General features: G+C 42.8%; 2 protein-coding genes across 2 annotated transcripts, besides 4 other annotated features; one reads left to right on the forward strand and one right to left on the reverse strand.

The window, feature by feature from the left end:
* C7orf33 (chromosome 7 open reading frame 33) lies at window positions 1–25,095 on the forward strand. The gene is made up of 3 exons (NM_145304.4): window positions 1–364; window positions 23,277–23,531; window positions 24,562–25,095. The coding sequence occupies exons 1-3, from the start codon at window positions 161–163 to the stop codon at window positions 24,634–24,636; spliced, it is 534 nt and encodes a 177-aa protein (NP_660347.1). The 5' UTR covers window positions 1–160; the 3' UTR covers window positions 24,637–25,095.
* Window positions 3,158–3,358: a silencer, noted in NCBI's record as "peak6831 fragment used in MPRA reporter construct". NCBI's record gives its function as "represses an SCP1 promoter by STARR-seq MPRAs in K562 erythroleukemia cells {active_cell/tissue: K562}" and the evidence as "EXISTENCE:reporter gene assay evidence [ECO:0000049][PMID:32103011]".
* On the reverse strand, window positions 12,803–17,643 carry LOC124901818 (protein GVQW1-like; the record flags this gene model as incomplete). The annotated part of the gene is made up of 3 exons (XM_047421175.1): window positions 12,803–12,847; window positions 14,232–14,316; window positions 17,516–17,643. Coding segments are annotated over 3 exons (258 nt in total), but the record flags the coding sequence as incomplete, so codon positions are not given.
* Window positions 16,474–17,193: an enhancer, noted in NCBI's record as "OCT4-NANOG-H3K27ac-H3K4me1 hESC enhancer chr7:148304331-148305050 (GRCh37/hg19 assembly coordinates)". NCBI's record gives its function as "activates a minimal SCP1, AML or CMV promoter by ChIP-STARR-seq in primed H9 embryonic stem cells {active_cell/tissue: H9 hESC(primed)}" and the evidence as "EXISTENCE:reporter gene assay evidence [ECO:0000049][PMID:30033119]".
* Window positions 20,425–20,925: an enhancer, noted in NCBI's record as "H3K4me1 hESC enhancer chr7:148308282-148308782 (GRCh37/hg19 assembly coordinates)". NCBI's record gives its function as "activates a minimal SCP1, AML or CMV promoter by ChIP-STARR-seq in naive H9 embryonic stem cells {active_cell/tissue: H9 hESC(naive)}" and the evidence as "EXISTENCE:reporter gene assay evidence [ECO:0000049][PMID:30033119]".
* Window positions 20,926–21,426: an enhancer, noted in NCBI's record as "H3K4me1 hESC enhancer chr7:148308783-148309283 (GRCh37/hg19 assembly coordinates)". NCBI's record gives its function as "activates a minimal SCP1, AML or CMV promoter by ChIP-STARR-seq in naive H9 embryonic stem cells {active_cell/tissue: H9 hESC(naive)}" and the evidence as "EXISTENCE:reporter gene assay evidence [ECO:0000049][PMID:30033119]".
* Window positions 25,096–26,579: the final 1,484 nt, after the last annotated feature.

Below are 26,579 nucleotides of genomic sequence, written 5' to 3' on the forward strand. Positions count from 1 at the left end.
ACTTATGGTGATGCCAATCCAGTGGTCAGGAGCGAGGCGCCCAGCCTGTGTCTGAATCCTCCTACTGACCCTGGGGATCCGTGCGACTTGATCTTAGATATTGGTGGTGAAGCGCCGCTCTCCTTGACAGCATCCAGGAAAGGTAATTACCTTTGCCAAAATGCAAGTGGAAGTTCAAAGCCTCAGCCTTGAAGAGTGTCCCTGGAGACTTCCAGGCCCCCAATGTGAATGTGAAGCCCTCCTGCCCAGTGGGGCAAGGCGCCGGATTGACCTTCGCCTGAGTGGGAGGGCAGTCGCTGTTTGGGTCCACGTTAGGGGCGGTCCAGGTCAATTTAACTTGTCATATGCCACGGGAAGACATAAGGTAAGTTAATGATTCTAAGATGAATCAACTGCTCTTTGAGTCAGTCAGTATCTCTTGAGAATTCATTCACTCAATCCATGAATGTTTTTGACTCTCTACTATGTGTTATGGAACTGGGCTTAACGACATTGAAGTAAAGAGAGAGACAGAGATTAATTCACTGCCCCAAAGAAGGCCTGGAATCTTCTTAGGGAAAAGAATCCTCACAAAACACTCCACTGAGTATTCTTGTGTTTAGCCTGAGTCATGTTGATTTGAAAAATTCCAGCGTAAAAATTGTATATTTTCACACAGTGTGGTAGAAGGAATGCGCTTGTTCTCAGACTATGTTTTGCCCTGGAGATGGGTCCACAGGAAGCCTCTATCTTGGTCACCCTTTGGCACAAGCTTTGCACCTGTTCCCTTCTCCTTGCCTAGATTCTTGTCTCTTCTCTCGCTTTAAAGACCAGGAGTTGTTGTTGTTGTTTTAGAGATAGTATCTTGCTCTGTCACCCAGGCTGGAGTGCAGTGTCACAATCATAGCTCACTGCAGCATCAACCTCCTGGCTTCAAGTGATCCTCCCAGAGGAGCCTCCCGGGTGGCTAGGACTACAGCCATGTGCCATCAGGCTTAGCTAATTTTTTTATTTTTTGTAGAAATGGGGTCTTGCCATGTTGCCCAGGCTGGTCTTGAACTCCTGTCCTCAAACGATCCTCCCACTTCAACATCCCGAAGTGCCACCCATGCCCAGCAAGACCTGGATCCTTAACTCTTTGCCTGTCTTTGATCTTTGACACCTCCTGATCCCCAAGCCCCTGCCTCCCACTAGGCAGGCATTTTTGGTTAAAGTATGAGCTCCCACTTTGTATTTATCTCCAGCTTTGGGTGTTCAGTTTGATGGGAACCACAGGTGTCCCCACCTAGTTCTCCAGCCCTAATTTGTTTTCTCCCATGTTGCAGTTCCTGGCTTCTTCCCATTTGCCCACACCCTCATTGTGGCACAGTGCCCCAAACTGACACATGCCACAGGCTCAGAGTATCTTCTGATATGAAGAATGACTCTGGTCATTCGAGGGCAGAGAGGATTTCATGACCTTTCCCTGAGAACAGCAGCATGAACTGCAGGGTCAGCAAGGGGGTTGTGTCTGCCTGCTGCTAAGGTCAGATGCAGACAGCCCATGTCAGGGAAAGCCCATTTAGCATAAGAAGAGTAAAAAGAAGAAAATACCTCCTCAGCCAGGGGTACTTTGATGTGAACCAATACAATTAGTCTCTGAATGATGAATATAAATGATAATCAATGACGTATATGTGCTTAAAAGAAGGTGAGAAAAGATTATCACTGCCTAAACCTTCCTTTTAAAGGATGCCACAAGTGCATGGGTGGAGCATATAGGGTAGATAGGATTTTTTTTTTTTTTTTGAGATGGAGTCTAGCTCTGTCGCCCAGGCTGGAGTACAGTGGCGTGATCTTGGCTCACTACAACCTCTGCCTCCTGGGTTCAAGCGATTCTCCTGTCTCAGCCTCCCAAGTAGCTGGGATTACAGGTGCACGCCACCATGCCCAGCTAATTTTTGTATTTTTAGTAGAGACAGGGTTTCACCATGTTGGCCAGGCTGGTCTCAAACTCCTGATCTCAGGTGACCTGCCTGCCTCAACCTCCCAAAGTGCTGGGATTTCACGTGGAAGCCACTGTGCCCCAGCAGGGTAGATATGATTTAAATCTTTTTTTTATTATTGTTTTTTTGAGATGGAGTTTCACTCTTGTCACCCAGGCTGAAGTGCAATGGCACGATCTCAGCTCACTACAACGTCCACCTCCTGAGTTCTAATGATTCTCCTGCCTCACCCTCCCCAGTAGCTGGGATTACAGGCACCCACCACCACATCCTACTAATTTTTGTATTTTTAGTAGATACAGGGTTTCATCATGTTCACCAGGCTGGTCTTAAACTGCTGACCTCAAGTGATCCACCCACCTCACCTCCCAAAGTCCTGGGATTACAGGCATGAGCCAACATGCCTGGCCGACACGATTTAAATCTAATTAGATCACTGGAAGATACAGCAAAGTCTCAAAGTGGTTGTCTATGGATGGCACTATGAGTTACGTATTATTTTTCCAAAGCTCAGAATGTTCTGAATTTCTTTATTTTTGTTATTCATTTTGAGATGGAGTCTTGCTCTTGTTACCCAGGCTGGAGTGCAATGGCTCAATCTTGGCTCACTGCAACATCCGCCTCCTGGATTCAAGTAATTCTCCTGCCTTAGCCTCCCAAGTAGCGGGAATTACAGGCACCTGCCACCACTCCCAGCTAATTTTTTTGTATTTTTAGTAGAGTCGAGGTTTCACCATGTTGGCCAGGCTGGTCTCGAACTCCTGACCTCAAATCATCTGCTTGCCTCAGCCTCCCAAAGTGCTGGGATTACAGGTGTGAGCCACTGCAACTGGCCTGAATTTCTTTAAATAGAGAATCTCTATTGCCTTCATAATAACATGTTTTAAAGTTAGTTTTTATTTTAAATGTTAATTTGAAGTCAAAATGCTTTTCCTCTGACTGGGTGTTTAATGCATTTAGGAAAGGCTGAGCATGAAGCCAGGGTCGGGGGATACAGCCTGTTTGGAGGGGATTGTAGAAACGGAGACTCCCAACTGGGATTGACAGGAAAGGGTCAGAGCCCAGAGAGATGCCTGCTGGAAAAGAAGTGACATGGTTGAATATTTGCCCGGCTAAGTGTCATGCTGGAATGTGATCCCTAGTGTTGGAGGTGGGGCCTAATGAGAGGTGATTGGATCATGGGGGTGGATTTGTCATGAATAGTTTAGCGCCATCCTCTTGGTGCTGTCCTTGCGATAGTGAGTGAGTTCTCACAAGATCGGGTTGTTTAAGTGTGTGGCACCTTCTCTTGCTTTCTTGCTCTCACTTTTGCTGTTCGATGTGCCTGCTTCTACTTTGCCTTCCGTCATGAGTGAAAGCTCCTTGAGGCCTCCCCAGAAGCCGAGCAGACGCCATGTTTCCTGTACAGCCTGCAGAACCATGAGCCAATTAAACCTCTTTTCTTTTTTTTTTTTTTTTTTTCTGAGACAGAGTCTTCGCTCTGTCGCCCAGGCTGGAGTGCAGTGGTACGATCTTGGCTCACTGCAAGCTCCGCCTCCCGGGTTCGTGCCATTCTCCTGCCTCAGCCTCTCGAGTAGCTGGGACTACAGGCATCCGCCTCCATGCCAGGCTAATTTTTTGTATTTTTTAGTAGAGACGGGGTTTCACCATGTTAGCCAGGATGGTCTCGATCTCCTGACATTGTGATCTGCCCGCCTCGGCCTCCCAAAGTGCTGGGATTACAGGCGTGAACCACCGCGCCCGACCAACCTCTTTTCTTTATAAATTACCCAGCCTTAGGTATTTTACAGCAATGCAAAAACAGCCTAATACAAGAAGTAAGAGGAAAGATGATACCAACTTACCAGTAAGGGTACTAAGATGACACCCAAGTAAAATGCAGAACAGTTATCATTTCATTTGCTTGGCAGAAGGAGGGTGACAGTTTGTAGGGAGATATAATCCAACCAAATTGTTTAGGGAAATGTGAAACCAAATGGTTTAGGGAAAATATGATGAAATTCAATATATTTGAATTTGGGAATATATTCAATATATTTCAGTCCAATATATCCTTACAGAGTGAGGTTTGGCATGGTACCACTGTGGATCATTTGTCTTCTATTCAAAAGAAGGACAATGTCTATGTTAATGTTATGGTTCAGGAACCTAACAGCAAGTACAGCCTGCAGCCTGCACTCCCAGCCGCTCCTGCTTACATGAGACAACAGTGAGCCACAAGACAGTGTCCCCATCTGAACATGCTTGGCCCTGGGAATCATTAGGGACTCTTAAGAAGCAGAAAGTCCTGACCACCTAACAATGAGCACCAGCTTTTCACTTAATAGTTTCTGAATATTCACCAGGTCAGGTTTTCTTTTGTTTGTTTTGTATTTTTTGAGACAGGCTGGAGTGCAGTGGCACATTCACGGCTCACTGCAGCCTTGACCTCCTGGGTTCAAGTGATCGATCCTCCTGCTTCAGCCTCCTGAGTATATTATATAATATCTATATTATATGGATATATATTATATAGATATATATCATGTATAATATAGAGATATCTATATTATATAGATATATATTATATAGATATATAATATATAATATAGATATATCTATATAATATAGATCTATATTATATAGATATATCAAATATAATATAGATCTCTATTATATAGATATATCATAGATAATATAGATCTATATTATATAGATATATCTATATAATATAGATATATATTATATAGCTATATATATGCTATTATATATTATATATACTATAGATCTATATTATATATTATATAGCTATAGTATATATAATATAGATCTGTATTATATATAACATATAGCTATATAATATATATAATATAGATCTATATTATATAGATATACATATTATATATATTATATATAATATACATCTATATTATATAGATATAATATAGATCTATATTATATAGATATAATATAGATCTATATTATATAGATATACATATTATATATATTATATATAATATACATCTATGTTATATAGATATAATATATATATATATCTATATCTCAAGCAGGCCACTGTGCCTGGCCTGCTTGCTTCTTTTAACCTATGCTATTCCTATTTTTACCTTGACCTTAAAGCTGATTGGACTTCATTTTATGAGAGGATGCTGTGGCTTACCCAGGTCATAACCATTAAATTTATCACATTAACCAATGTTTAACCATGATCACAGATTACTGAGAATACTGGCAAGAAAATGAGTAACTACAAAATTGCAACAGGTTGTGTGCAATTAAATTTTTTTTTCAAATATATTTTAGGTTAACATTAAACATTCCAGTTATAATCTCTATTCTGCAGTTGATGCAGAGTTCGTGTTTTAAAAAAAGAACTGCCTTCACAGAAATGTGGACTTATATACTTTTATATAATAAACTTTATATTTTTAGAGCCATTTTAGGTTCACAGTAAAACTGAGCAGAAAATAGAGATTTCTGGTACCTCTTGCCCTCACACATGCACAACCTCCCTCCCTATCAACTTCCCCCACCAGAATGGTGGATTTTTTACAACTGATGAACCAACATTGATGTATTATCACCTGAAGTTTATAGTTTAGATTACAGTGGGTTTGGACAAATACATAAGGTCATGCATCTTCTGTTACAGTCTCATTCACTGCTGTATTAGTCTGTTCTCACGCTGCTGATACCTGAGACTGGGCAATTTACAAAAGAAATAAGTTTAATTGGACTTACAGTTCCACATGGCTGGGGAAGCCTCATAATCATGGTGGAAGGCAAGGAGGAGCAAATCACGTCTTACATGGATGGCAGCAGGCAAAGAAAGAATGAGAAAGACGCAAAAGCAGAAACCCCTGATAAAACCCTCAGATCCCATGAGACTTACTCACTACCATCAGAACAACATGGGGGAAACTGCCCCCATGATTCAATTATCTCCCACCAGGTTCCTCCCACAACACTTGGGGATTATGGGAGTACAATTCAATTTGAGATTTGGGTGGGGACACAACCAAACCATATCAACTGCCCTAAAAATCCTCTGTGCTCCATCTGTTCCTCCCTTCCTCCTTCCCCACTCCCTTCCTCCCCCACTCTACTCCTTGGCAACCACTGATCTTTTTACTGTCTCCATAGTTTTGTCCTTTCCAGAATGTCATATATAGTTGGAATCCTACAGTCCGTGGCCTTTTCAGATTGGCTTCTTTCACTTAGCGATATGCATTTAAGCTTCCTTCAGCCTTTCCATGACTTGATAGCCCATTTCCTTTTAGTGCTGAGTAATATTCCATTGTCTGGGTGTACCACAGTTTATTTTTTCATTTACCTACTGGAGGACATCTTGGATGCTTCCAAGTTTGAGCCAATTATGAATACAGCTGCTTACCAACATCTGTGTGGATATTTTGTGAGGACCTAAGTTTTCAACTCATTTGGATACATATATATATATACACATATATATAATACATACATATATATGCATATATATTTAACCAAAAATTATAATTAAAATATTTTCAAAATGTATTTAAAATGTTATTTATTTATTTTTATTTATTTTTTTGAGATGGAGTTTCACTCTGTCACCAAGGCTGCAGTTCAATGGCACAATCTCAGCTCACTGCAACCTATGCCTCCCGAGTTCAAGTAATTCTGCTGCTTCAGCCTCCCAAGTAGCTGGGATTACAGGCACCTGCTACCATGCCTGGCTAATTTTTGTATTTTTAATAGCAATGGGGTTTTACCATATTGGCCAGGCTGGTCTCAAACTCCTGACCTCAGGTGATACACCCACCTTGGCCTCCCAAAGTGCTGAGATTACAGGTGTGAGCCACTGTACCCTGCCCAAAAATATTTTTTAGACAAAAGTCATCAAATAACATAACAAGAATCTTCATGCTACTATCCAGCATACTAGCCCCATCCTTCCCAATCTCCCATCCCAAAAAGTAACCATTATTCTGAATTCATTGTGGATCATTCCCTTCCTCTGCATTTGTTTTGTTTTGTTTTGTTTTGTTTTGTTTTGTTTTGTTTTGAGACGGAATCTCGCACTGTCGCCCAGGCTGGAGTGCAGTGGCGTGATCTCAGCTTACTGCAAGCTCCGCTTCCCAGGTTCACGCCATTCTCCTGCCTTAGCCTCCCGAGTAGCTGGGACTACAGGTGCCTGCCACCATGCCCGGCTAATTTTTTGTATTTTTAGTAGAGATGGGGTTTCACTGTGTTAGCCAGGATGATCTCGATCTCCTGACCTAGTGATCCTCCCGCCTTGGTCTCCAAAAGTATTGGGATTACAGGAGTGAGCCACGGCGCCCAGCCTCCCTTGCGTTTCTTATACTCTACTTACATATGTATTCTTAAACAACACACTGTATTTTTGCGTGTTTTCAGCTTTATATCAGTGGTATTATACACTGATTATTTTGCAATCTGCCTTCCTCCTCTCCTGCCCCCACCCCTTATATGAGGCTTATGAAACGCATCCATATTGAAATGTTCAGTTCCCTCAATTTCATTGCTGTTTTGTGTGCCATTCTATAAACATCCCACAGTCTGGTTTTCTACTTCTTTGTTGATGGACACTTAGGTTCCTCCCAGATTGTTGCCACAATTGCCAACAATTAGATTACAAACAATATTAACAGAAACATCCTGGTACGTGACAACTCTGGCACTTAAGCAAAACTTTCTCTGGGACAGTGCTACTCAAAATATGGTCTGAGAACTGTTTGTTTCTGGTAAACCAATGCCCTGCTTCCTTAATCATGAAAATCTTACTATGAAACAAACATCAGCTAAACTTGACGTTATGTTGCATAATAAAGTTAATCTACAACATTCTGGTGCAAGTTCTTCCTTCTTATAGCAGAACTGGCGCTCTGCAAATAAGTGAACCTATATTCTCTCTCCCTCTCTCTCTCTATATATATATACACACACACACACATACCTATATATATGTATATATATAAAAAAAATTTCATTCCTGGATATATATATATATATATATATATATATATATATATATAGAGAGAGAGAGAGAGAGAGAGAGAGAGAGAGAGAGAGAGAGAGAGAGAGAGAATGAGAATATATCCAGGAATGAAATTATTTATCTTTTTTTAATTTTATTTATTTATTTATTTTAAGACAGAGTCTCACTCTTATTGCCCAAGCTGGAGTGCAATGGCACGATCTTGGCTCACTGCAACCTCCGCCTCCCAGGTTCAAGTGATTCTCCTGCCTCAGCTTCCCAAGTAGCTGGGATTACAAGCACTTGCCACCACACCTGGCTAATTTTTGTATTTTTAGTAGAGATGGGGTTTCACCATGTTGGCCAGGCTGGTCTCAAACTCTTGACCTCAAGTGATCCACCCACCTACGCCTCCCAAAGTGCTGGGATTACAGGTATGAGCCACTGCCCCTGGCCAGGAATGAAATTATTGAGCCAGATGCAGAATGGTCTACTTTCTAAATTACGGCAAACTGCTCCCACAGCTTAGTACCTAATATCGTAGTGTTAATTCCTACAAATCTGAAATCTTAAGAAACGGGTCTACCTCAAACATTATAGGGCCTGAGACAAGAACACAAATGAAACCCCTGAACAATATGTCTAAATATGAAAAAGTTTGAAGTCATGTGAATAAACTGTTAAATATCTTCTATCCTCCTACCTTGACAAAAATGCTTTTATAACAACCTGGAAGGCCAGGTTCAAATTTACAATTCTCAGATTTTTTTTTTTTTTTTTTTTTTGAGACGGAGTCTTGCTCTATCGCCCAGGCTGGAGTGCAATGGCATGGTCTCAGCTCACTGCAACCTCCACCTCCCGGGTTCAAGCAATTCTCCTGCCTCCAGCTTCCCAAGTAGCTGGAATTACAGGTGCGCACCATCACGTCCTGCTAATTTTTGTATTTTTAGTAGAGATGGGGTTTCACCATGTTGGTCAGGCTGGTCTCGAAATCCTGACCTCGTGATCCACCCACCTCGGCCTCCCAAAGTGCTGGGATTACAGGCGTGAGCCACCACGCCCAGCCTAGAATTCTCAGATTTCTTAAAGTCCACCCTGGAATGTGGGTGGCTGTGGAGAGCTGGCCCTTGACCTGCAGCACGACTACTCTCTTCCCATCTCCAGCTCTGCCCTGCACCTCAAGGACCTCCTGAGTGTGTTTACAGACACACAGCTTACGCGTCCAAACTCCATCTACACGCCCATAAACAGCCACCCCTTGGCCACTTTGGGAGGACAGGCTGCGTGTAGGAAAGAGCCTCCTCGATCCCTGGAAATGAACTTAGAGCTGCTTAGAGGATTTCACAGCCCATGCCCCGCAGTTTTGTGGTAGGAAAACAGGCTCCAATGGGCACAGCCTCTTGTCTCTGGGTACCTCTAGCCATTTGGGGATGGGAAGAACCAGAGGAGGGTCAGAGTTGAGCCTCTAAAATAGGCCCAGAGCTGGGCGTAGTGGCTCACGCCTGTAATCCCAGCAATTTGGGAAGCCAAGGTGGGCAGATCACTTGAGATCAGGAGTTCAAGACCAGCCTGGCCAATGTGGTGAAACCCCATCTCTACTAAAAATACAAAAAAATTAGCTAGCCATGGTGGCAGGTGCCTGTAATCGCAGCTACTCAGGAGGCTGAGGCAGGAGAATCACTTGAACCAGGGAGGCAGAGGTTGCAGTGAGCTGAGATCATGCTATTGTACTGCAGCCTGGGTGACAGAGCAAGACTCAGTCTCAAAAAACAAAAATGAAAAATGAAATGAAATAAATTAAGCCCAGAGCAGGGACCCCTCTTGCCAGGATATAAGGGCAATACTGGGAACTTTTTACTGTCAATGAGGTTTTCAAATTTTCAATGTTTGTTGTTCATGGTACTCATTAAGATAAAAATTTGTTATGCACCTATATTCATTTCTGCATTTCAATTCTTTATTTTGCCTATATGCATCTTATTTTGTGTTTTCTTTATCCATTTTGCCAGGGTTCTGTCTTATTAATCTTTCAAAGGACCAGCTTTGGGCTTGATTCATCTTTATTTTTCTGCTTTCTCCATTTTATGGACTTCTTTTTTTTTTTTTTTTTTTTTGAGACGGAGTCTCGCTCTGTCACCCAGGCTGGAGAGCAGTGGCGTGATCTCGGCTCACTGCAACCTCCACCTCCCGGGTTGAAGCAATTCTCCTGCCTCAGCCTCCTGAGTAGCTGGGACTACAGGCACACGCCACCACACCCAGCTGATTTTTTGTATTTTTAGTAGAGATGGGGTTTCACCATGTTAGCCAGGATGGTCTCGATCTCCTGACCTCATGATCTGCCCACCTCAGCCTCCCAAAGTGCTGGGATTACAGGTGTGAGCCACCGCGCCCGGCCTTATTGACTTCTTTAAGATCATTCTTTGAGTTCATTTGATTTAACCTTTCTTGTTGCCTAATTTATTTTGAGTGAAGAATTTTTCTCTAAATACTGTTTTGGCGGCTTCCCACCAATTTTAAAAGACGGTGTTTTCATTATTGCCTAGTTCTACATATTTTGTATTTTTATGATTTTTAAATCCTTTTAAAATTTATGATTCTTTAGTAGCAGGTTATTTATTTTCCAAATAAGTGAGCTTTTAAAATTTTTTTTATTTTTTGAGACAGAGTCTCACTCTGTTGCCCAGGCTGAAGTGCAGTGGCACAATCTCGGCTCACCGCAGCCTCCACCTCCTGGGCTCAAGCCATCCTCCCACCTCAGCCTCCCAAGTAGCTAGGACTTCAGGCATGTACCACCACACCTGTCTAAATTTTTGCATTTTTCGTAGAAACAGGGTCTCACCATGTTGCTCATGCTGGTCTTGAACTCCTGGACTCAAGCAATCTGCCTGCCTTGGTCTCCCAAAGTGCTGGGATTATAGGCATGAGCCACCTCGGATGGGCCTTTTTAAGCAACCCACTTGTTATTTGTTATTAGTTTTTAATTTTATTGCAATATGGTTAGAGAACATATTTTTTGTTTGTTTGTTTGTTTTGTGGGGTTTTTGTTTTGTTTTGTTTTAGAAACACGGTCTTGCTCTGTTGCTCAGGCTAGAATACAGTGTTGGAATCATAACTCACTAGAGTCTCGAACTCCTGGGCTCAAGTAATCCTCCCACCTCAGCCTCCTGAGTAGCTACGACTTCAGGCACATGCTCCCATGCCCAGCTGATTTTTTTTATTTTTTGTAGAGACAGGGTCTCACTATGGTACCCAAACTGGTCTCAAACTCCTGGCCTCAAGCGATCCTCCTCCCTCAGCCTGCCAAAGTACTGGGATTACAGGCGTGAGCCACAGCACCCGGCCCAAACTGAGTTTATCTCTAGAATGCTAGAGTGGTTTAGCATTGGAAAATCTATATGAATCTCTCTTTGTCAGTTTATCTAATTGAGATTAAAATTATATGATTTTTCTCAGTTTTTATAGAAAAAGCTTCATAAAATTAGTATTAATTCACCATTAAATTATTTTTTTAATGTGAAAATAAGATAAAGGGCATCTACAGCAACCATTATATTTAATACCAAAATGTTGAAGGCATTATCTCTAAGATTGATAATAATAAGTTAAGGGTGGGTCACGGTGGCTCAGACCTGTAAACCCAGCCACTTCGGGAGGCCAACGCAGGTGGATCACTTGATGTCCGGAGTTCAAGACCAGCCTAGCCAACATAGTGAAACCCCATCTCTACTAAAAATACAAAAACTAGCCAGGCGTGGTGGTGCATCTCTGTAATCCCAGCTACTCGGGGAGGCTGAGACATGAGAATTGCTTGAACCCAGGAGGTGGAGGTTACAATGAGCCAAGATTGTGCCACTGCACTTCAGCCTAGGCAACAGAGCAAGACTTCATCTCAAAAAATAAAAAATAAAAGTCAAGGATTCCTGCTATCAACACTTCTATTCACAATTGTACCAAAAATCCTGGCCAGGGCAGTAAGGCAAGAAAAAGAAACAAAAGTCATAGGAATTGGAAAAGAAAAAACAAAACTGCCTTTATCCACTGATGATGTAATTGTCTGCCTAAAAATTCCAAAAATAATCTAAAGATAAACTGTTGTATTAATTTTAACATTTATCGAAGCTGTTGGATACAAAATAAGTATGTGAACTCAATTACATGTCTATCTACCAGCCAGTTAGAAAAGTAATATATTTTTAAAAGAGTCATCCTTTCCAGATTCCTACAGGATAATGGCTACTTCTTAAGTCTGAAATTCTCCATTTATTCTCCAAAAGGCATAAAGATCAACAAGAAAAGCAAATGAAACCATCCCAAAAAGCCTGTCAACATCATCACAAAGAGAACGCTACAAATGTCCATTTACATGCAAGGAAGGAAATAAAGATACAAAATCAGCAGACCCAGCCCCAGAGCCCACACTGAAGCAGTCAGATGAGAACACACAGAAATGAGGAGAGGAAAGCCAGGTTCCTAGCGGTGGCAGAACACAAATAAAACATCACACCCAGAATGAAAGGGTCTTGCTCAGGATGGGGGAAATCTCAGAAGAGCTCTGAGACCAGGCTGATCTGGCTACTAAAGAATCAAAAGGAGGCCAGACTCGGTGGCTCATGCCTGTAATCCCAGCACTTTGGGAGGCCAGGAGCTCGAGACCAGCCTGGCCAACATGGTGAAACCCCATCCCCACTAAAAATACAAAAATTGGCCGAAAATCGCTTGAACTTGGGAGGCAGAGGCTGCAATGAGCCAAGATCATGCCACTGCACTCCAGCCTGGGCAACAGAGCGAGACTCTGTCTCCAAAAAAAGAGAATCAAAAGGAAGAAAGGTACTGTAGAGTGTGCAGGATCCGGGATGCAGCATTAGGACAGCACTGCTTCTGAGTGAGAGTTTGGAAGAGGAGGCATCTATTGAAGTGAAAAGAGAAAGTCAAGCAGTGGAAATTATGGATCCCACAGAAACAAAGAAGTCATAAAATTGGAAATACACTGACCTTCCCAGGCACCAGAAAATAAGTCATTTGTTAAAGAACCTGTACTTCACTGTACCAACAGGAGAGAGCCTTCTTAAACTAAGAAACCTCATCAGTCATTCAAATCCCTCACTCACTCCATAGACACATGTGTTAATGGCTGATCAAGAAAAATTCAAGACACTTTATAGAACTACCATTTGATGGTAGTTACTGGTATCTACCCAGAGGAAAAGAAGTCATTATACGAAAAAGATACTTTCACACACACATTTATAGCAGCACAATTCCCAATTGCAAAAATACAGAACCAAACCAAAAGCCCATCAATGATTTGATAAAGAAATTGTGATATATGTATCCCATGGAATACTACTCAGCCATAAAAAGGAATGAAATAACAACATTCGCAGCAACCTGGATGGAATTAGGGACCATTATTCTTTTTTTTTTTTTTTCCTTTTTTCGAGATTGAGTCTCACTCTGTTGCCCAGACTGGAGTGCAGCGGCACAATCTCAGCTCACTGCAACATCCGCCTCCTGGGTTCAAGCAATTCTCCTGCCTTGGCCTCCCAAGTAGCTGGAATTACAGGCACCTGCCACCACACCCAGCTAATTTTTGTATTTTCAGTAGAGAGAGAGTTTCACCATGTCGGCCAGGCTGGTCTCAAACTCCTGACCTCAAGTAATCCACCCACCTCGGCCTCCCACAGTGCTGGGATTACAGGCGTGAGCCACCACACCCGGCCTAGGGATCATTATTCTAAGTGAAGTAACTCAGGAACGGAAAACCAAACATCATATGTTCTCACTTACAAGTGGGAGCTAAACTATGAGGATGCAAAGGCATAGTGATACAGTGGACTTTGGGGACTCAGGGGAAAGGGTGGGAGGGGGATGAGGAATAAAAGACTACACATTGGGTACAGTGTACCCTGCTCAGGTGATGGGTCCACCAGAATCTCAGAAATCACCACTTAAGAACTTATTCATGTAACCAAACACTGCCTGTTCCCCAAAAACCTATTGAAATTTTAAAAATAATTCCAAGACACTTTAAAATAAACAGAAGAAGGCAGGCAACCTCCATAGGAAGTTACTACAAGAAGAAAACAGGAAGAATCCAAATTTTTCCACCAATAAAAATATTTCCAAAAAAAGGCAGAGAAAAACTATATAGCACATGCTTCAACATGAATTAAATATAATTAAACTAGCAGCAATGTATATACACACATACAAAAAAACATGAATAAAAAAACTCCTAATAGAGGCTGAACACGGTGGCTCACGCCTGTACTCTCAGCTCTTCGGGATGCCAAGTTGGGTGGATCACCTGAGGTCAGGAGTTCAAGACCAGCCTGGCCAACATGGTGAAACCCCATTTCTACTAGAAATACAAAAATTAGTCAGGCATGGTGGCACACACCTGTAGTCACAGCTACAAACAAAGAAAAAACTCCTAATAGAAAAAGACAAAAATGAGATGTAAAACAATTTATTTAGCTCAGAAAAGAAAGTGCAAGAAAAGACAAAATCATCTCAGGAATTAAGACCAAATTACAAGGTGTTCAGAGGAGAATAGTGGAATAAAAGCATCCAAGACAGTGAGCAATAGTGACCTACCCAGCTATGCCCATCATTAAGCCATTGGTGTCTCAGCTCCAACTCCTCCCTTCTATGCTCAGCTTTGTGATGTCAGGGCAACTACAACTGCATTTTGCTTTGCCAGCTGGACCCAGATTGGCCTTTGGCAAGAAGGGGAGCAAAAGGGAGACTGCAAGGCTAGAGGAGGAGGAAAGGATGAGTTTCCTCCTGTCTGCTCACTGCTCCTGTGAGTATCATCCTAGCAATGCTTCTTCACCCCGGCAGCAGCACTTCCTTTCTGCAGAAGCTTTTGAATGTGGTTTGCAGTTTGCAGTTTTTCTAGCACTTGCAGACCTGACCTCATACGGCCCATCTCATATTCACCAGAACCAGTGCAGAGCCCCCACCTTGAAGGTCTGAGTTTTAGCTCCAGGTGCCCCACCTCTAAGTTCCTACTTGTTCCCTTTCTTATTGTTTCTTTAACCCTGGGAGTGGACGCTGCAGTTGCTACCTCTATGAGACCTTAGAGTTCTCTTTTTATCCTGTTACAACTTTATAATGAACACATTTTTACCTAGTTAACACTTTTTATATTAAATTCTTACTGTTCAGCTAACTTGTGTGTATACTATCTCTTGGCCAGACCCTGACTACACTGGTGAACTTAAATAGAAAACTAACTTCTTGAAATGATCCTGGGTGGTTTATAGGATAAACAGAATGGCCTGAGAACGAGGCTTAAACAGATGGAAGCCCAGCCATGTTCATCCTGCAGGAATCATCTGGGCAAGACAAGCTCCTAATGCCTTTCACATTGCTGCACCCACCATCACCACCACAAATCCCAACATGCAGAAGATTATGAACAGACAGATAAGGCTCGCTCTGCAGATAGGTAGGGACAGGACAGTAAAGAAATTCGGAGGCAAGTTTTTAGACAGTTACACTTTTCTTAGATTCATCTCTCCAAAAAATATTTATCAAGTACCTTCTATGTGCTAGGCATCAGAAGGGAACAAAAATAAATGACATGGATCTTGTCTTAAAATCTAGACCACTGTTTCTCAACATTAGAATTTATCAAAATCTGGGATACTGTCAAAAATACCTCACCTCTGGAGATGCTGGGTCATTGCAGCGGGTGTGGAACCTACAACATATACTTTTTAACAAGCATCCCAGGTGATGCTGAAGTTGGTAGCCCACAGACCACTTTGAGAAACATTGATATTACAAACAAAAAAAAATATGCAGCAGACACAAAATCATGTGTAGGGGAAGAAAAATCATTGTTTCCTCAATCCTCATAGGTCTTTTAAAAACAAACAAACAAAAACGGAGTCTTGCTCTGTTGCCCAGGCTGGAGTATAGTGGCGTGATCTCAGCTCACTGCATCACTGCAACCTCCACCTCCCAGGTTCAAGTGATTCTCCTGCCTCAGCCTCCCAGGAAGCTGGGATTACAGGCACCCACCACCATGCCCAGCTAATTTTTGTATTTTTAGTAGAGACGGGATTTCGTCACGTTGGCCAGGCTGGTCTCGAACTCTTGACCTCAGGTGATCCACCCACGTTGGCCTCCCAAAGTGCTGGGATGACAGGCGTGAGCCACCGCGTCTGGCCACCTCATAAGGTTCTTAGTTGGAATAGACCCCATTTAAAAAAAAAATACACACACACACACACACACACACACACACGAGAAAAACAAGTTTATTTACATGTATATTTCACATCTACATGGCAGACACCCAGGAAAGGAGTAGTTCTCATGGCAGACACCCAGGGAAGGAGTAGTTCTCAAAGAAATAGCTTTGAATTCCAGCTTGTATAGCATCTTCAACAAAGAATAGTGATTTTTAGAGAAGTGACAGGACAAAGGAAAAGGACTTTGGGTCTCTAGAGGGGACTTCTCTGCGGGGAAGCAAGTAACCGGCAGATAAAAGCGAGTTGGTAAAGCATGTTCAGGTAGATTCCTCTGGCTCCTACTCCTGGCAGATAATGGTCTAAAACTGTCTTCAGTGGTTAACCTTTGTTCTCCCTGGTAAAAGACAGGGGCAGGATGTCTTTTATCTTGTAAATCTCTGTCCTGCATTTAAGCAAATGGAGGGCAGAGAGCTTTCCTGCATCTGTTTCTTCTTAATTGTCTTCAGCTCGACAATCCTCCTTTTGGAGTGGCATGTTCTGGACTCCCACACATGTCTGGAAGCAATGGTCAATTTCCCTAGAATGTAGATTTATTGATTAAAAAGAGACAAGGAAGAATTTCTTAGGAGGTCAGTTTTATGCCACTACAGGACTTCAGAAAAAGAACAGATCCTTCCTGCTTGATTTTAGGCAATAAATGCTTCCTATCTGACTGATCAGAAGACCACAGCCTTTAGAAAATATGACTCAAAAAATATTTTTCTTTGAGTTTTTTGACCAACCTTAAAAAAAAGTCCTGCAGGATATTTTCACTTAGGAATCACCAACAAACGTATTTTTTGTCTGTTACCACAAGAAAGCGTATCGGGTTTAAATATGTTTCTTTAATCGTACCCAGGCGAGCCTGACACTTATACTCTTTTGTATTCCTATATTCTTTCTTCCTCTTAATACATTTTTCTTCCTTCTTTCCTGGCTCCAAACCCCTAGTTTTCTCCCTTTCCTAATTGATGATTTTTTTCAATTCTTCAGCCACAGGTGCCCGATAAAATGGCCTTCAATCTCTGCCTTTACTTCCAGCGTATTACCTCACTCCCTCTCAAACGCCAATTAAAGGCTTTGTCCATTCCTGCTTAAAAAAATAGATGAAGGAAAATGAGATCTTTCTACCCAGAAAGACAAGTGCTTGGAAATTGCTAATTAGGTAACCAGAAATTCTGTCAATAATGAGCCCCAGGCTGGGTGCTGTGGCTTACGCCTGTATTCCCAGCACTTTTGGGAGGCTGACGCAGGCGGATCACGAGGTCAAGATGTCAAGACCATCCTGGCCAACATGGTGAAACCCCGTCTCCACTAAAAATACAAAAATATTAGCTGGGCATGGTGGTGCGCGCCTGTAGTCCCAGCTACTTGGGAAGCTGAGGCAGGAGAATCGCTTGAACCCAGGAGGCGGAGGTTGCAGTGAGCCGAGATCAGGCCACTGCACTCCAGCCTGGGCGACAGAGTGAGACTGCATCTCGAAATAATAATAATAATAATAAGTCCCCTCCCCTTGCCTGCCAAAGTGACTCCAATAATCACTCGACATGGACTTAAGAGCTGGTTTGACTTCCCATCTAAATTGCCGTGGCTCAGTGGCTCATGCCTGTAATCCCAGCACTTTGGGAGGCCAAGGCAGGCAGACACCTGAGGTCAGGAGATCGAGACCATCCTGGCCAACATGGAGAAACCCCGTCTCTACTAAAAATGCAATAATAAGCCAGGCGTGGTGGCGCATGCCTGTAGTCCCAGCTACTCGGGGAGGCTGAGGGCAGGAGAATCGCTTGAACCTGGGAGGCGGAGGTTGCAGTGAGCCACGGTCACACCTCTGCACTCCAGTCTGGGCGACAGAGCAAGACTCTGTCTCAGGAAATAAATAAATTGCAAGGAAAGGCAAAACAAATCTCACTGTGAATGTGGCTTGTCCATTTGCTGTAAAAACAGTCCTATTGCCTCCCTAGTGTGAAGCATCAGGTCCTGCTAAGAATGCTGGGTGGAAAGGCCTCTTTTGGAAACATGGCTTTGCTTTGGCAAATATTGTTGCTGATCTACCTGGGATAAGAGCTTAAGGTTCATTCTTACCTTGAGGAAGCAAAGGGGTTTTCATGTGTGTGAAATAGAAAATACCTTTCACGTTGCAAAGACGTTATTTTGAAAAAAAAAAAAAAAAAAATCAGGCCCAATGTAATGGAGAAGAGGTAGCACATCAACAAGATTCTGGAATAAATACAGTACTAACTCCCATCCCCCTGAGTACTAGCTACTAGTAAAATGAGATATCATGTTTCAGGCTTGACAGGGTCTCTGTTACAAACCATTCTTACATTCCTGGGCACAGAGCTAGTCTAAACATTCATAGAGCTCTTCAATTATATTTTGGCTCTTATATCAGCAGAGTTGAAGAGGAAAACAATGGCAGGGCATATGGGCCTCCTTTCACATACAGAGTAACAGAAACCCCAACTCAAAGGTCTTTTCAAAAAGGAAATATACTTATTCATAAAAAGAGAATTTCAGAGATAAAGCAGACTTTAGGTTACCCTCAGTGATGTTAGCAACAGCTCAGATTTTCAAATCCCAGCCCACAATCTATACTGACATCTTCATCTTGAAGTTGGCTGTCCTCCTAGGTGTAAAGTGGCTGCCAATAACAACTGGACTTTCTCTCTAAGGAGGGAGGAAGGACTTCCTTGGAAATCACAAGCAAATCTCTCCCCGAGGCTCTGCAGCCACAACTTGGTCACATTTCCATTTCTAAACCAATTCTTGACAAAAGGGAACATATTATCCTTAAATTATTTCAGCCCAGGATAAGCTTTCCCTCTGATACTTGGCCGCTTAGTGGAGGGTGGAGGGTTGGAAAAAGTCAGGCCTCTGTTACAGGAAGAAGGAGAAATGCTGAGTGGGCTACCAACAGTGTCCCCCACCTGGAGGGGGAGTCTTCGCTGAGTAGGAGCTTGAAATGGCTAAGTTAAAAACGGAAGTACATCTGAGGACCCTTCCAACTAGCAGATTCCAAGAAGACTCAATAATGCCTGATCCCAAATCCATTCTGAGCTGAGGCACTGTGTAACATCAGCAAACTGTGCAGGTTCTGCAAGAGGCACAAAGATAAATAAAAATGGTTCCATCTGGACTTTATTGCACAGTGAGAGTCATATGAGGTATCTGTAAACAACAAGAAAAGGTAGAATCACTTTGTGGGAAGTTTGATCCACAAGTAAGACTTCTGTGATGGTTAATTCTGTCGACTTGATTGGATTGAAGGATGCAAAGTATTGATCCTGGGTGTGTCTGTCAGGGTGTTGCCAAAGGAGATTAACTTTTGAGTCAGTGGGCTGGGAAAGGCAGACCACCCTTAATATGGGTGGGCACCATCTAATCAGCTGCCAGCACAGCTAGAATATAGAGCAGGCAGAAAAATGTGAAAAGACTAGACTGGCCTAGCTTCCCAGCCTACCTCTTTCTCCCGTGCTCGATGCTTCCTGCCCTTGAACATCAGACTCCGAGTTCTTCAGTTTTGGGACTCGGACTGGCTGTCCTTTCTCCTCAGCTTCCAGACAGCCTATTGTGGAGCCTTGTGAGCATGTGAGTTATTACTTAATAAACTCCCCTTCATATAATATTTTATGTGTGTATATATATCCTATTAGTTCTGTCGCTCTGGGGAACCCTAATACAACTTCCGAGGAGGGAGATCACTTCTGAGCAAATTATGAGGAATGGCAGCAAGAAGAAGGTGGCTTCTGAGCTGAGCCTTGTGAGAGATCAAATTTTACATAGTATGGGGGACAAGCATTCCTGGGTAAAGGGACAGCAATGGGGCAGGGCTAGTTAAAAAACAAGATGAGAGCATTATCTTCAGTGTAAATTGCTCCCCCACCAAAAGGACAAAGTGTCTGACTCACCACCTAGTGACTTCACTGGATGTTCTCCTTCTGCTCCACAATCCACCCCTCATTCTTCTCCACCTTCTTGTTCTGTGGCCCCAGAGGCTGGCCTTATGGACTGTATCAACTAGGCCACCTTGTTCCTGGTGTGAATTGGGTTCGACTAAGATGGTATGGGCAGGAGATGACAGAGTGAGAGGAAAGAGAGTTGGAGGTATGATTCCTCCAGCGTGCTCCTTGCCAGACTGTAGGTGGGCAGTAGCCATATTCCTCTAGCAAAAGCTATGGCTTTCCCCAAACAGCCCTTCCCCATAACTAGTGACATGGGAGTTGGGCAGGGAAGTGCTGGGTAGAGAAGGGCCAGGTCCCTGGTGAGGGCTCCACCCTCAAGCCTGTGCCACAGATCTAAGTGGGAACAGGCACTCCTGTTTTCATGACTGAATGTTGCATTTTCCAAGACCACCCTGGCCAACCAAGCCCCCCATCCTGTACCCATATAAACCCAAGACCTTAGTGGGTACACACACAAGCAGCTGAATGTCGAGACCAGCAGACCAGTGACAGCAGAACGATGCAGCAGAGAAGAAAAAGAGGGACGTCTTGATGCCGAGGGAAGGTCGGCCAGGGGTGGTTGGAGAAGGGTCCGGCTGCTGGGCAGCCCAACTCCAGGGAAAGATTATTTCCCCCACCCCTTCAACTTCCGGCTCCCCATCCATGTTGCTGAGTGCCGCCTCCATCACTCAATAAAAACTTGCACTTATCCTTCGAGCCCATGTGTGATCCGATTCTTCTGGGACACTGGGCCAGAGCTCAGGGAACAGAGGCTGTCACACTGGCCCTCTGCCCTTGCAATAAGGCAGAGGGTCCATTGAGCTGATTAGCACACAAGCCATCTGCAGATGGCAAATCTGAAAGAGCTTGGGTTACACGTGCCCACCTGGGCTTTGGGAGTTGCAGACACCCACCCCTAGACATTGCTGCGGGGCCAAGAGCCCAAAGCATTCATCCCGGCATCTGCACCTGCCAGTCTGCATGCTCCCCCTAGGGGTTTGAGCTGCAGGGCAACCAAGCAGGTGAGCCACACCTGTGTTGCATGTGCTGCAGGGGGAATCAGGGAACGCTCCCATTTCACTAGCTTTCAGTACCTGCTCCCTCCCTGTCCACCACACTGGAATAGCAACCTTGCAGCATTGCCAGCCCTGGGGGCTTCATTATAATGCCTGGTTTCCTTGCACTATCAGTGCCTCTATAGAAAAGGCGCTTGATTAAATTCTCCCCAGTCAGACCTTCTGAATATTCCACCTGCTTCTGGCCTGGACCATGACTGACAGAGATCTTTGTAGTCAACTGAAGTTAGCCAGTGATTTTTTTTTTAATTTCCATTGCTGTTTTCTTATTTCTTGGTTCTAAGTATCTTATTTCCTCATCTTCTAAGTGTGGCATTAATAATGAACTTCCCATCAGATCTATAAGTTGAAACTCTTTCATCTCTACCTTGAAGAGCTAGATATTTCTTTCAAAATGTTGGAACTATACAAATGACAAAAGAAAAAATAGAGAAATTGGACTTCATCAAAATTAAAATCTTTTATGCTATAAAATGTATTATCGACAAAGTGTAAAGCAACCTGCAGAATGGGAGAAAATATTTGCAAATCATATCTGATGAGGGACTTATATCCAAAATATAGAATTCTTACAACTCAATAAATAACCCAATGTTTTTAATGGGCAAAGAATATGAACAGATATGTCTCCAGAAAAGATTACAAATAGCCAATGTGTACATGAAGAGATACTCAACATCATTAGCCATTTGAGATATGCAAATCAAAGCCAGAATTAAAACCACTTCATCCCCACTAGGATGGCTATAACTAAAAAGGCAAGTAATAACACGTGCTGGCTGGTGAGGATGTGGAGAAATTGACACCCTCATGCATTGCCAGTGGGAATACAGGATGGTGCCAGCCACTTTGACACTTCCTCAAAATATTAAACACATACTAGATCTTTTCCCTTTTATTTTTAGTTGGCACATAATATTTATGTGATACAGAATGATATTTCCATACATGTATACAATGTGTAATGATCAAATCAGGGTAATCAGTATATCATCACCTAAAATATTTATCATTTTCTTGTGCCATAAACATTCAAAACCCTCTCTTCTAGTTTTTTGAGAATATAGAATAAATTACAGTTAACCATCTTCACCCTACTGTGCTACAGAACAGCAGAACTCATTTCTTCTATCTAGCTGTCATTTCGTATCCATTAACCAGCCTCTCCCTGGAGTCTCCTCCTCACCACTCTTCCCAGACCCTAAGACTCACTGTTCCACTCTCTATTTCCATGGGCTCAAGTTTTCTTTTTAGCTTCCACATATAAAGGGAACATGTGGTATTTATCTTTCTGTGCCTGATTGATTTCACTTAACATAATGACCCAGCAATTCTACTTCTAGGTATATACTCAAGAAAGTGAAAATATGTGTCCACACAAAAGCTCTGTACACAAATAACGTGCATAGCAGCATTATTCATAATACTCAAAAAATGGAAACAACCCAAATGTCCACCAAATGATGAATGGATAAATAATTCGTGGTCTACCTATATAATAAACTATTACTGGGCAATTAAAAGGAATGAAGTTCCGATTCATGCTACAACATAGTCGGACCTTGAAAACATCACGCTAAGTGAAAGAATTCAGTTACAAAATACTACATGTTTGATTCTATTTATGTGAAATGTCCAGATTGGCAAATCCATAGAGGTAGAACGTAGATTAGTGGTTGCCTGGGGAGACTTAGGGAGAAATGGGGAGTGACCGCTAATGGGTACAGGATTTCTTTGGGGGATGATGAAAAAGTTCTAAAATTGACAGTGGTGACGGTTGCACATTTCCTTGAATATACTGATAACCACTGTAAACCTTGAATTGGTGTATTACCTGTGAATGATAAAGCTAATAAAAATTAAAATGGTGTGTTTTAAAATTTTGGAACCAACTAATTCTAAAAGCAAATGTTGCCAAAATTTCCAGAATATCTTTGTCTATAATCTTTAGGCTATTTCATGTGTCTGACAGCTACTTAGTAGCCTCAAAAGAAATGTGAGAACAAATTAGTAGCTTACTGATCACCATCTTTCCACCCTTTAACCCAATTTGTTTGTTTGTTTGTTTTTTCCAGAAGCCAAACCCACACCAAAACATGAACCGGGGGATGGAATTTATTGCTCCTGTATCAGCTCCCACCAAATCTGGTGCCCCGTGGCATTTTCTTTCTCAAGGTCCCACGGATGCCCAGAGAGCAGTCAGAATCAGGCCAGGCACCAGGATGGGCTTGTCCTCAGATCCAGTTGTCGGCACCTTGTCTTCCAGTTACCTAGATCTGCTAACTCTCTCTTACAAGCCTGGGAGGACAGTGACAAGTTCATACCTAAACGTAAGCTCCGAAGTGTCTTAGCACCTCCAAGTTTAAGGAAACCCACGGGATGCTCTGAAACTTCCATGAAAATGAAGATTGGAGGGATTGTTGCATTCTTGCATGCCTGGATGTTTCATATTCTCTGAATGTCCAGCATGAAACTGATCTGATCCCATGCTTTTTTGCCAACTTGATTTATGTTAAGATAAAAGAAAGTGCCCCTTACCAAGATGCTCTGAAAGCACCTTCTCCCTTGTATTAATGATAACTAATGTTATTAAGAGAACATAAGGCAACTTTAACAAAATAAGAGCTCACTAAAGGGGATCCTGTATGGGAATTCTTCGTGCAAATGCCATTTCGGAGCTGGCATTGTACTTGCAGATGGAGTCTCTACAGGAAGCTATGGCTTCGGTCCTACGTGAGCCCGTACAACCACTCAGCACATAAAGTTCCATGAAATTGGTGCCTCAAACCACAGTATCTATAAAGGAACTCCTAACTTAAAAAGTAATCCATCAATAGTAAGGATTTTTAAACTTCAGCCTAAAAATTTTAAATACTGTTAGTAGTAATAAAGCAATGAGATTTCTCTAAAATTATTGTTGCCTGTATCACTTTAAATCTTTGACATAAATGAAAAGTTGCATGGAAAATGCTAAAGTTCTAAGCAAATAGGTTGAGCATTAATAAATAGGAAGATGAAGTAAGTGAAATTGATTTTGTTAGGAACTGGTGGGAGCTGGTAGAGATAGCGATTTTTTTTAATACTTTTTAAAATTTTTATCTATTTACTTATTTTGAGACCAGGTTATAAGACTGGCTAATTTTTATATTTTTGGTAGAGAAGGGGTTTTGCCATGCTGCCCAGGCTGGTCTCAAACTCCTGGGCTCAAGCGATCCACCCACCTTGGCCTCTCAAAGTGCTGGGATTACAGGCATGAGCCACCATGCCAGGCTGAGACAGTGTTTTAAACTGTGCTATTGATGTTCTAGGGAAAAGGTAAATCATCCTGAGATAACAGAAGTCTTCGTAATCCACATGTAGGTACGTGGGCATGAAGTAAGAAAGCTCCAGAATTCTGTTGAGGCCACAAGGATTTCCAGAACTGACAGCAGTTAAGAATTTTGCAGAATCTAAGAGTCACATCTCTAAATTTGTGTAGATTGTGAAATCTCTTCTTGCAAGAAAAAAGAGAAATAGCTGAAGTTCTGGAAATAACAGTTGATGAAAACTTGGTAATCTGAAGTCTGAACTTTGAACACCAGCAGACAGGCTGAGAATTCTCTTTGATCATGAGCCCAAGTTCCACGTGTACCTGCAGGAATCTGTGTGGCATTTGTGCACTGGTGTGGGGCCCAGGAGAGGACCACGGAGTGACAAGCCACCAGGTTCTAAAGGGAGACGAAGATCCCCAGAGGACCTGGATAGAGATGTTTCCCTGACCATTGTCTGCTGTGTGCTCCCGATGATGAGACTCTAGAGTTTACAACTGAAACACACTGTCATTTATGATATTATTTGTAATATCTGGTATGTCTAAGTAAAACATGCATTCAGTAAAACTCGCGATGAAACTTATCTCATTGTGTGGATTTCATTCTTCTCAATTCTTTTATGTTTTCTGGGGTTTTTTCTAGATGGAGTTTCACTCTTGTCGCCCAGGCTGGAGTGCAATGGTGCGATCTCGGCTCCCTGCAACCTCTGCCTCCCGGGTTCAAGCGATTCTCCTGCCTCAGCCTCCCGAGTAGCTGAGATTACAGGTGCCTGCCACCACGTCCAGCTAATTTTTGTATTTTTAGTGGAGATGGGGTTTCACTATGTTGGCCAGGCTGGTCTCGAACTCCTGACCTCAAATCATTTGGAAACCACCATATTGAGTGTGCAGGAGGGGAAATCCTACCAGTTTGAAATGCAGTTTGGCCGCTTCTTTACTCTGTGATAATATTGTGTTTGTCAGCAAGGGTTCCCTAGCAAGGTACCACAGAGCGGGGTTGGGGGACGGGCTTAACCAACAGAGGCACATATCCTCACAGTTCTGAAGGATAGAAATCAGAGACCAGGGCATGGGCAGAGCCTTCTGAGGCTCTTTGACTTGTATAAGGCCATTCTCCCTGCGTCCTCACATGGTCGTCCCTCTGTGCATGTCTGTGTCCTAATCTCTTCTTCATATGAAGACACCAGTCACACTGGATTAGGGTCTACTCAAATGACCTCATGTTAACTTAATTACCTTTTTAAAGGCCCTATCTCCAAATACAGTTGCATTCTGAGGTTCTAGGGGTCAGGACTTCAGTATATGAATTTTGGGGAGACAATTCAACTGATAACAATTGTATTAGTCTGTTCTCACACTGCTACAAAGAAATCCCCAAGACTGGGTAATTTATAAAGGAAAGAGGTTTAATTGACTCTCACAGTTCCGCATGGCTGGGGAGGCCTCAGGAAGCTTACAGTCGTGGCGGAAGGGGAAGCAGGGACCTTCTTCACAAGGCGACAGGAGAGAGAGGGCATGCAAAAACGAGGAAGTGCCACACTTTAAAACTGTCAGCGGTCATGAGAACTCACTATCATGAGAACAGCATGGGGGAATCGCCCCCATGATCCAATCTCCACCCTCCCTCAACACACGGGAATTACAGATCCCTCCCTCAACACACGGGAATTACAGATCCCTCCCTCAACACACGGGAATTACAGATCCCTCCCTCAACACACGGGAATTACAGATCCCTCCCTCAGCACACGGGAATTACAGATCCCTCCCGCAGCACACGGGAATTACAGATCCCTCCCTCAGCACACGGGAATTACAGATCCCTCCCTCAGCACACGGGAATTACAGATCCCTCCCTCAGCACATGGGAATTACAGATCCCTCCCTCAGCACATGGGAATTACAGATCCCTCCCTCAACATGTGGGGATTACAATTAGAGGTGAGATTTGGGTGGGGACAGAGAGCCAAACCATTATCAACTGTGAAAACATTATGTAATAATAATAACAACAACTTCCAGAGATAGCTGTGTTGCAGGCACTGTCTTAAGTTCTTACATGTATCAT

The sequence above is a fragment of the Homo sapiens genome, chromosome 7 (genome assembly GCF_000001405.40).
Source record: "Homo sapiens chromosome 7, GRCh38.p14 Primary Assembly".
Classification (NCBI taxonomy): Eukaryota; Metazoa; Chordata; class Mammalia; order Primates; family Hominidae; genus Homo; species Homo sapiens.